Genomic DNA, 12059 nt, shown 5'->3' with positions numbered 1-12059 from the left:
AAACAAAAACAAAAACAAAAAAACTGGCCAGTGCTTTAGTAATTCTATTGAATTCGTAGCTGTTTACTATGTTCTGAGCACCAGGCCTAGGACTGAGAGCAAGTCAAGAAAGATTAAAACAAAGTATTTTTTATTTTATTTATTTGAGATGGAGTTTCGCTCTTGTTGAGTGGGCTGGAGCGCAACGGCGTGATCTCGGCTCACCGCAACCTCTGCCTCCCGTGTTCAAGCAATTCTCCTGCCTCAGCATCCTGAGTAACTGGGATTACAGGCATGCACCACCATGCCCAGCTAATTTTGTATTTTTAGTAGAGACGGGGTTTCTCTATGTTGGTCAGGCTAGTCTCGAACTCCTGACTGCAGGTGATCCACTCGCCTTGGCTTCCCAAAGTACTGGGATTACAGGCTTGAGCCACCGTGCCCAACCTTTTTTCTTTTCTTTTTTTTTTTGAGATGGAGTCTTGCCAGGCTGGAGTGCAGTGGTGTGATCTCAGCTCGCTGCAACCTCCGCCACCTAGGTTCAAGTGATTCTCCTGCCTCAGCCTCCCGAGTGGCTGGGATTACAGGCGCGTGCCACCATGCCTAGCTAATTTTTGTATGTGTAGTAGAGATGGCGTTTCACCATGTTGGCCAGGATGGGCTCGATTTCTTGACTTCATGATCCGCCCGCCTCAGCCTCCCAAAGTGCTGGGATTGCAGGCGTGAGCCACGATGCCTGGCCAGTATCTTTTATTTTAAGAAGACACTAAAAGTCTAGAGGAGAAGATGGACAGATATTGTAATGTTGGCACAAGTCAACGCTGTGGAAGATCAGAAGAGGGAGAGATTGGCTCTGGTGAGGAGTTCAGAGAAGACATCTCAGAAGGGATATTTGAGCCTGGCCTCCAAGGATCAGCACAATATTTATAAGAATAGGTAGGAAAATGAAGGGAGCAGTGGAAGGCAGTAATTTGCATCCTGAATGCATATCAATATCACTTGGTGCTTAGATAACAGCCAGGGGTGCTAGTTCTGGGTAAGATGGGGTAAACATTTTTTACCCTTCCTCCCATACTGAACATGTCTAAAACCTTGGACATGATGCATGGAATGGCTGTTTAAGGACTCTGAAAACTAAGTAGTGATGGGTGAATTGGGGATGAAGACTAGAATTCGAAGCACCATTGAACCTGCAGTGAATTTGCTATTTTTTTTCTTCCAGTATTCTCTGTCCTGAACACAACATAGCCTCAAGCCCAAAAGTGAGCACGGGACTGCAGAAAGAATTTCAGGAGAAGCATCCTAGTTCTGGTTTGAGGAGCAGGCAACTTAACCAGAGAATGAAGAAATTCCCCCCTGCTTTTTTCTCATCCCTGTTCTCTCAAATTCTAGCACTCAAGTAATCCTGTTTTGGTAATAGCAGCAGCAACAGGAGTCTGTAGAGCCAAAACACTGAGCAAGCAGGACTTTCTTTGGCTGGTGGAGTTGTGGTTCCATGAGGGTGAGGCAAACCCCCATTGCCTTTTTTTCCTCTCTGTTTTCTACTGTTTGCCCAAGATGTAAGCACAGTCACAGAAATATGCAGCTGAGTTAGGTAATTAAACAGCTTGCTTGCTTTCTCTCTCCTTTCTTTCCTTCTTTCTTTCTTTCTTTCTTTCTTTCTTTCTTTCATTTTCTTTTCTTTCTTCTTTTTCTTTTTTTTGGAGTCTCACTCTGTCACCCAGGCTGGAGTGCAGTGGCATGATCTCGGCTCACTGCAACATCCGCCTTACGGGTTCAAGCAATTCTTCTGCCTCAGCCTCCCAAGTAGCTTGGATTACAGGCACCCACCACCATGCCCGGCTAATTTTTTGTATTTTTAGTAGAGATGGGGTTTCACCATGTTGGCCAGGCTGGTCTTGAACTCTTGACCTCAAGTGATCCACCTGCCTCAGTCTCCCAAAATGCTGGGATTACAGGCGTGAGCCACGGCGTCCAGCCTAAACTGCTGGCTTTCTGATCGGTGACTGAGAGCCCAAGAAAACCAGAAAGGACTGGAGAAATCATGGAAAGAGAAAACTTCAGAAGATGACCCCACAAAGTTATTTATGAAGTCCAGGGCTCATTTCCTAGGTGCACATGCATGTTTTTGATCCTAATTAGCACACCAAAGATTTTGAGAATTGAACTAACAGATAAGCCATTGCCCAGGTCTCAGTCACAAAGCAGCCCAAATTATACTAAAGGCTTTGAAAACAGAAACGACATAGGAACCGTAGCCCACAAAGGGCAGATTGGAACTTGTGACCTGAGCCCAACTGGTTTGATTGCCTACAAAAACAAAGATGTCAACTTTCTCCACTTTATTTAAGCAAGACTCAGAGCCTGATAACATAATATCCAAAATGTCGAGGATATAATTTAAAAGTACCTGCTGTGTGAAGAACCAGGAAAATCTCAATGCACAAGGAAAAGACAACAGATGTCAATGCTGAGATGCTGAGAACACAGATGTTGGCATTATCTGACAAAGACTTTAGAGCAGCTTTTACAAAATTGCTTTGACAGCAATCATGGACACTCTTGAAATGAATGAGAAAATAAAAACCCTCTGAAAAGAAATAGAAGACATAACAGGTGCCAAATAGAAATTTTAGAACTGAAAAATATAATAAATGAATTTTAAAAACACTGGATAGATTCAATAGCAGAATGGAGATGATGAATAAAAGAGTCAATAAACGTGAAGATAGATCAATAGAAATTATACAATATGAACAACATAGAGAAAAACATGAAAAAAAAGAACAGAGCTTCAGGGACTTGTGGGACAAGAATAGTCTAACATTTATGTCATTGGTGTCTTAGAAAGACAGAGAAAAAAGTATAGCTTGAAAAAATGTTTGACTTATTAATGGCTGGAAACTTCCCAAATTTGGTGAAGGATGTAAATCTACAGATTCAAGAAACTCAGCCTCAAACACGATAAACCCAAAGAAATGCACATCTAGACAGGCCATGATCAAACTCCTGAAAACTAAAGACAAGAAAAAAACAATTGGCTGGGCATGGTGGCTCATGCCTGTAATCCCAGCACTTTGGGAGACCAAGGCGGGCAGATCACTTGAGGTCAGGAGTTCAAGACCAGCCTGGCCGACATGGTGAAACCCTGTCTCTACTAAAAATAACAAAAATTAGCTGGGTGTGATGGCGGGCACCTGTAATCCCAGCTACTCATGGGACTGAGGCACAAGAATCGTTTGAACCCAGGAGGGGGAGGTTGCAGTGGGCTGAGATCACGCCATTGCACTCCAGCCTGGGCGATAGAGTGAGACTCAGTCTCAAAAAAAAAAAAAAAAAAAAAAAAAGAAAAGAAAAGAAAAAAATAATCTTTGAAAGCGGCCAGAGAAAAACAACATGTTACTATAGAGAAACAACAATTTAAACAACTACAGATTTTTCATCAGAAACCATGGGGCACATGGAAATGATGTGCCATGGGGCACACTTTTAAAGGGCTGAAAGAACTGTAAATCCAGTGATCCAAATCCAGCAAAAGTGCCTTTCAGAAATGAAGATGAAATAAAGGTATTCTCAGACAAAAAATAGGATAGAATAGAATTCATTACCAGCAGACCCACACTAAAAGAATTGCTAAATAAAGTTTGTTAGACAGCAAAACTAAACAAAACTAAACAAGCAAATAAAAAAACCAGAAGAACTTTGGGATCATCAGAAATGAAGGAAGAGGGCCAGGATTAGTGGCTCACACCTGTAATCCCAGCACTTTAAGAGGCCGAGGTGGACGGATCACTTGAGGCCAGGAGTTTGAGACCACCCTGGCCAACAGGGTGAAACCCGTCTCTACTGAAAATACAAAAATTAGCTGGGCATGGTGGTGCATGCCTGTAATCGTAGCTACTCAGAAGGCTGAGGCAGGAGAATTGCTTGAACCAGAAAGGCAGAGATTTCGGTGAGCTGAGATCGCACCACTGCACTCCAGCCTGGGGGACAGAGCGAGACTCCATCTCAAAAAATCAAAACAAAAACAAACAAAAAAAAAAAAACAAAGAAACGAAGGAAGGGGAAATAGAAATGAAGAAATGATAAATATCAGGTAAGTATACGAGAATATTATTCTCCTTTTGAGTTCTTTACGATGTGTTGATGTTTAAAAGCAAAAATCACAAGATTGTTTGATGGAGTTTCAATGCATGTAAATGTAATATATAAGACAAGTATGACCTAAAGGTGTGTGTGTAAAGAGACTTATATTAGTAAACTTCTTTTTTTTTTTTTTTTTTTTGGAGACAGGGTCTCACTCTGTCACCCAGGTTGGAGTGCAGATGTGCAATCATAGCTCACTACAACTTTGAACTCCTGGCCTGAAGCAATCCTCTCATCTCAGCCTCCCAGAGGGTTGGGATTACAGGGGCGAGCCACTGCGCCAGGCCTATGTTGGTAAAATTTAAACAAGAAAGGAACTCGTTAAGAGACTGACAAGTTCTAGACTAGGAGACATATTTGTAAATCACGTATCTGACAAAAGACTTGTATCCAGAATATATAAAGTTTCACTCAAAACTCGTCAGTAAGACAAGCAGATTAAAAAATGGGGAGAAGCTTGAACAGATGTTTCACCAGTGAGGATATATGGGTAGAAAATAAGGTCATGAAAAGCTGTTCAACATCATCATTAAGAAAATGCAAAGTAGGCATTTTCTACTGTGGTGGCTCATGCCTGTAATCCCAGCACTTTGGGAGGCCCAGGTAGGCGGATCACTTGAGGTCAGGAGTTCCAGACTAGCCTGGGCAACATGGGGAAACCCCATCTCTACTAAAAATACAAAAATTAGCCAGGCATGGTGGCATGCACCTGTAATCCTAGCTACTCGGGAGGCTGAGGCAGGAGAATTGCTTGAACCCAGGAGGCAGTGGTTGCAGTGAGCCGAGGTCACGCCACTGCACTCCAGCCTGGGCGACAGAGCAAGATTCCGTCTCGGGGAAAAAAAAAAAAAAAAAGAAAATGCAAAGTAAAACCACAGTGATATATCTCTGTACACGTGCTAGAGAGGCTAAAATTAAAATATGGAAAATACTAGGTGCTGAGAAGGATGTAGAACAACTGGAACGTCTGTACATTGCTAGTAGATGTGAACAATGATATAACCACTCTGGAAAAAGTTTGGAAAATTATTTAACTTTAATTTTAACTTTTTTATAGAGAAGGGATCTCGCTGTGTTTCCCAGGCTGATCTTGATCTTCTGGCCTCAAGCCTTCCTCCTGCCTCTTTTTCTCAGTGCTGAGATTACAGGCATGAGCCACTGTGCCCTGTCTTGAAAATTTCTTGTAAATCATTATACACTCGCCATATGCCCCATAATTCTCACTCCTGGATATTTACCCTAGAAAAATTAAAATGTGTACACAAATCCAGTACACAAATATTTATAGTAATTTTATTTGTAATAGGCAAACCTTGGAAACTACCCACATATTCTTCAACAGGTTTATAGATAAACCGTAGTGCATGCATACAATGGAATATTACTCAGCAAGAGAAAAGAATGAACTGTTGATATAGGTAACAGGTTGTTTGCCATTCTCACACTTGAAACTTAGGCCTGCTCTGTTTCCTTTCATTTGTTATTCATACAGTTTGCACAGTCTTAGATTCACTGGTGTGCATACTCCACACCTGCCTGCCTTTGCTCACGTGGTTTCTCTCTTCCACAAATGTCCTGGTCTTACAAAATAACTGCATACCTACTTATCCTGGATATAGAGACTGGTACCATTCCCTAAGGAGTTCTAAGCCATGAAGCCTGGAAAATGTGAAGACTTTCTGCCACCCACGTGAGATGGGGATAATTAGGAATGGGGAGAGGAGAGGAAATTCGTGCTTATGGGTTCAGAAGTGGACAAGGGGAAGAAGCCAAGGACAATAGGCAGGAATAGAATCCCCAAGGCAGCGTGGAAGGTTGCACATATTCTAGTGCAGTGATCAGTACCCTGCATCTGTCCTCTTCTCATCCGGGCCCTTCTGTGAAATCCTCTGTGGCTCGGGCCATCTGCTTAGTGTCTTCAGGCTTCAGATGAGTCATCTGGAGAATATGGGATTGGAACAAGATAACCTGTATGGGCCACCCCCTTCTAACGTTCAGTAGTTGTACAATTCTTTTTTTTTTTTTTTGAGATGGACTTTTGCTCTTGTCACCCAGGCTGGAGTGCAATGGCTCGATCTCGGCTCACTGCGACTTCTGCCTCCCAGGTTCAAGTGATTCTCCTACCTCAGCCTCCTGAGTAGCTGGGATTACAGCTGCCTGCTACCACGCCCAGCTAATTTTTGTATTGTTTTAGTAGAGACAGGGTTTCACCATGTTGGCCAGGCTGGTCTCAAACTCCTGACCTCAGGTGATCCACCCGCCTTGGTTTCCCAAAGTGCTGGGATTACAGGTGTGAGCCACCATGCCTGGTGGTAGTTCTACAATTGTGATGGGATTATATGACCCTAGGAAGAAGATGCTGTTATTAATCATTTTCATATTACTGTAAATTAATTCAATGAACTAGCTTTCTTGAAAACTGACATAGCCTGGTATTGAAGAAAAGTGAGTTTTGATTGGAATGCAGGAATGGAGCATGCAATTTGGAAGTATGGGGGTATTTTTTATGAAAAGATTAGACTTGAGAGGATGAAGCCCCTCAAGAGGCACTGGTGAGGTTCTAGTATCTTCATGTTAAAGATGAGAAATCAGGTCAAGAAATCTCATCATGTATAATGTCACCCAGCTATCGGGGGAGTTCATCTGAATTTGAACTCAGGATTGTCAAATTCCCCAGTTTAGAAGAGAGGTGCTCTGGGAAGCAGAAGAAAAACACAAGAGGAAGGTGTATTAGACCATTTTCACACTGATAAAGAACTGCCTGAGACTGGGTAATTTATAAAGCAAAGAGGTTTAACTGACTCATAGTTCAGCATGGCTGGGGAGGCCTCAGGAAACTTACAATCATGGTGGAAGGGAAAGGGAAGCAAGGCACCTTCTTCACAAGGCGGCAGGAAGGAGAATGAGTGCAGGAGGAACTACCAAACACTGACAAAGACATCAGATCTCATGAGAACTCACTATCACAAGAACAGCATGGGGGAAACTGCCCCCATGATCCAATTACCTCCACGTGGTCTCTCCCTTGACATGTAAGAATCATGGGGACTACAATTCAAGATGAGATTTGGTATGAGTGAACTCCCATTCACAATTGCTACAAAGAGAATAAAATACCTAGGAATACAACTTACAAGGGACGTGAAGGACCTCTTCAAGGAGAACTACAAACCACTGCTCAAAGAAATAAGAGAGGACACAAACAAATGGAAAACCATTCCATGCTCATGGATAAGAAGAATCAGTATCATGAAAATTACCATACATCCCAAAGTAATTTATAGATTCATTGCTATTCTCATCAAGCTACCATTGACTTTTTTTTTCACAGAATTAGAAAAAACTACTTTACATTTCATATGGAACCAAAAAAGAGCCCAAATAGCCAAGACAATCCTAAGCAAAAAGAACAAAGCTGGAGGCATCACCCTACCTGACTTCAAACTATACTACAAGGCTATAGTAACCAAAACAGCATGGTACTGGTACCAAAACAGATATATACATCAATGGAATAGAATAGAAGCCTCAGAAATAACACCACACATCTACAACCATCTGATCTTTGACAAACCTGACAAAAACAAGCAATGGTGAAATAATTTAATAGGTGTTTTCCCAGCACCTATTTAATAAATGGTGCTGGGAAAACTGGCTAGCTATATGCAGAAAACTGAAACTGGACCCCTTCCTTACACCTTATACAAAAGTTAACTCAAGATGGATTAAAGACTAAAATGTAAAACCTAAAACCATAAAAACCCTAGAAGAAAACCTAGGCAATACCATTCAGGACATAGGCATGGGCAAAGACTTCATGACAAAAACACCAAAAGCAATTGGAACAGAAGCCAAAATTGACATATGGGATCTAATATAACTAAAGACCTTCTGTACAGCAAAAGAAACTATTATCAGAGTGAACAGGCAACCTAGAGAATGGAAGAAAATTTTTGCAATCTATCCATCTGACAAAGGTCTAATATCCAGAATCTACAAGGAACTTAAACAAATTTACAAGAAAAAAACAAACAACCCTATCAAAAAGTGGGCAAAGATATAAATAGACAATTCTCAAAAGAAGACATTTATGCGGCCAACGAACATATGAAAAAAAGCTCATCATCACTGGTCATTTGAGAAATGTAAATTAAAACCACAATGAGATACCATCTCATGCCAGTTAGAATGGTGATCATTAAAAAGTCAGAAAACAACAGATGCTGGTGAGGATATGGAGATACAAAAATGCTTTTACACTGTTGGTGGGAGTGTAAATTAGTTCAACCATTGTGGAAGACAGTGTGGCAATTCCTCAAGGGTCTGGAACAAGGAATACCCTTTGATCCAGCAATCCCACTACTGGGTATATACCCAAAGGATTATATATCATTCTACTATAAAGACACATGCACATGTATGTTTATTGCAGCACTATTTGCAATAGCAAAGACTTGGAACCAACCCAAATGTCCATCAATGATAGACTGGATAAAGAAAATGTGGCACATATATACCATGGAATACTATACAGCCTTAAAAAAGAATGAGTTCATATCCTTTGCAGGGGCATGAATGAAGCTGGAAACCATCATTCTCAGCAAACTAACACAGGAACAGAAAACCAAACAGGGCATCTTCTGACTCATACGTGGGAGCTGAACAATGAGAATACATGGACACAAGGAGGGGAACATCACACACCCATGGCTGTCAGGAGGTGGGGGGCAAGGGGAGGGAGAGCATTAGGACAAATACCTAATGCATGCGGGGCTTAAAACCTAGATGATGGATTGATAGGTGCAGCAAACCACCATGGCACATGTATACCTATGTAACAAACCTGCATGTTCTGCACATGTATCCCAGAACTTAAAGTAAAATAAAAATAAAAAAAAGAGAGAGGTTATACATATCTCTCTGAGTGGCTGAAAAGAAAAAAAAAAAGATGAGATTTGGTTGGGGACACAAAGTCTAACCATATCAGAAGAGAAGAGGATGCTGGAGCTTAGCTCAGTTACTCTGAAAATTTCCTTAGGCCAAGCTGAGGAGGTAGGGGGAAAACAGTACCTCGATATTTCCTTTTTCTGTCCCTGGGTCCTTTCCTAGGCTTTGTGCTCCCGGCCCAGAGGCCAAGACGAGAAAGGAATGGCAGGAAGATTTGGGACTTTTTATGCAGCCAGTCAAGTAAGGTCATTATGAGTCTCTTGCCCAAATAATAGCAGGGCCCTAGGGTAATTCTTTGGTTCCTAGACGCATGAATGGTCTGCTGTATTAACCGGAGCTGGAAGATGGTAAGTTTGGAGAGCAAGTGCTCACATGCTGTGCATCCGGACAAGACTGTGCTTCCGTGACTAAGGTCTATGAATACACCGAGCACGTGGTTGGGCCTGACACCCGTGTCAGGTACTGGTAGGAGCAAGCAGTACTGTGTAATGTAGTTCTTTGAGAGGAAGATCTCAGCCACCATCAGAAGCATAAAAAGAAGGGTTTTGTTTGCATTAAGTCTGGAAAGAAACAGTTCACACCACTGGGTGGCAGTATGGCGCGCCTCTTTGTTTTTCCTGAGTGGCAATACTGTATTTTCCAGACTTACTAAGGAACCATGTTCCTCTCGGCCATATATAACTACCCTTTGCTTCCTGTCCTGCTCCCTGTGTCTCTGTCCCTACGCATTCTGAGCGTCAGCTGTGTGTGTGTGTGTGTGTGTGTGTGTGTGTGTGTGTGTGTGTGGTTGTCGTTGTCAGTGGTGATTTAGGAGAGGAATAAACATTTCCGATCAGTTCCGTCTTCTTTCCACACATTGACTTTCTGTACCTCTGAACTGCTGGGTTAGGTCCTTGTTAAATCTTTATTAATAAAGATTTATAGTGAATAATAATAATTTAAAAAAAAACCGGCAAGCCTACACACAACACTCTTGGGGAAGTTCATCTCTAGACTGAGATGTAAAATACTTCTGCTGAAAATATTCTTTGGGGGAAAAACCCTAAAGACAAGAAGGGACGTATTCTTTGAAAGATGAACTGGCGCTGCTTTCCCAGGGCAGAGGCAGAGGCGGAGGCAGCAGCAGACGGCGCCAGAAGTTACCTGCAGAGCTGCCCTGCCATCTGGTGGACAAAGGGGCACCTGCAGCTTGCAAACCGAATTGCAGGGCTCCCAAGATTTTAACATTTTAAATTTTTTCCACACCTCACCTGGATCAAGATTTTTATGAATTATTAAGCAAAACGAGAGAACTATCAAACTAGCAAGCAAAAAAGCCAATAAAATCCCTGTTATATATAAAGTTTCGGTGCCGCAAAAGAAATAGCACTCGAATATAAAATTTTCTTTTAATTCTCAGCAAGGCAAGGTACTTCTATAGAAGGGTGTGCCCTTACAGACAGAGCAATGGTGAGCGCACACTTGGACAAGGGATGGGAAGGGGTTCTTATCCCGGTCGCACGTGGCCCCTGCTGCTGTGTCCTTCCCCTATTGGCTAGGGTTAGACCGCACAGGCTAAACTAATTCCGATTGGTTAATTTAAAGAGAGTAACGGGGTGAGTGGTTTGGCGGGGAAAAAAAATGGTTATGCAGGGCGGAGAATGAGTCAGAGAGCAGCAGGTAGCAGGTAATCTGAATAAGTCAGGGTGGAGCAGGTGATCGGAATGAGTCAGGGTGGAGTAGATAATCGAAAAAGGTTGCTTTACGAGGAAGTTAAGTTTAAAAGTAGAAGGCAAAGAATTGAACATACTGACATATTGATTCTTTGAAGAGAAATTTAGAACTTATATCTAACAGCCCGAATAAATAAATAAAGACAATGCATGGTTGCCAGCTTTTTCTTTTGCTAATATTTTAAAAAATTGCATCTATGTTTGGCGTCCTCTTACCTCTAAAGGGCAATAACTTCCAAAGAGCTTGTGTATGGAAGCTCCAAAAGCGAACGAGAAAGTGTTGTTTTTTTTTCCCCCTGAGAGAGAGAAAAAAAGGACAACCCTTTTAATTGAATATTTAGCTTAATGGAATGATTATTACATCTTTCTTATTTTTATAATTCTGTTATAAAGGGGTGAAAAATTTATCAAGTTTCGGTAGTGGTCTAAGGATTGATATTTGAGAACCACTGGTCTAAAAGACTTCATGCAAATATTTTATAAATATCTGAGAACTCTGAAATATTTCAGCATAGGGACTTGGAGTTAAAGCACTGTATTCAATGTATTCAAAATGGCCTTTAGGGCCCATTTTAAAGCAAATATTTTATTAAAAATTGCCATTATTTCACTTTTTTCTGAGTCTTGCGGATTCTTACTGGCCTCTCACATTTGTTTCATCTTTTCCTGGCTTGGGAGGCCATTGCCTGATTTCAGCGTCATCACAGCACTTTCCTGAGGGCTGCGTGTTTCTTAGGTTGTCTCTGTTGATTGTACAAATTAAGCTTGGGCACCTACCACTTGGTATGTGTGTCCTTATAAAGTGCATAATGTGCTTCAGCAGCACGTATACTAAAATTGGAACACTACAGAGAAGATTAGCATGGCCCCTGTGCAAGGATGACACACAAATTTGTGAAGCATTCCTTGTTTTTTTTTTTTAACAAATAAAAAGGTACGGCTGGGCACGGTGACTCACGCCTGTAATCCCAGCACTTTGGGAAGCCGAGGCAGGTGGATCACGAGGTCAGGAGTTTGAGACCAGCCTGGCCAACATGGTGAAACCCTGTCTCCTAAAAATACAAAAAATTAGCCAGCCGTGGTGGCGGACGCCTGTAATCCAGCTTGTAATCCAGCTACTCGGGAGGCTGAGGCAGGAGAATCGCTTGAACCTGGGAGGCGGAGGTTGCAGTGAGCCAAGATTGCGCCACTGCACTCCAGCCTGGGCGACAAGAGTGAAACTCCATCTCCAAAAAAAAAAAAAAAAAAAAAAAAAAAAAGATATGAGCTCTGGAT

At 41.9% G+C, this 12059-nt stretch overlaps 1 pseudogene; it reads left to right on the top strand.

The window, feature by feature from the left end:
• Nucleotides 11596–11698, top strand: RNU6-592P (RNA, U6 small nuclear 592, pseudogene; annotated as a pseudogene).

This window comes from Homo sapiens, chromosome 11 (assembly GCF_000001405.40).
Source record: "Homo sapiens chromosome 11, GRCh38.p14 Primary Assembly".
NCBI classification, from domain to species: domain Eukaryota; kingdom Metazoa; phylum Chordata; class Mammalia; order Primates; family Hominidae; genus Homo; species Homo sapiens.
Note: the sequence above shows the minus strand (reverse complement) of the source record. Positions and strands in the feature narration are given on the sequence as shown.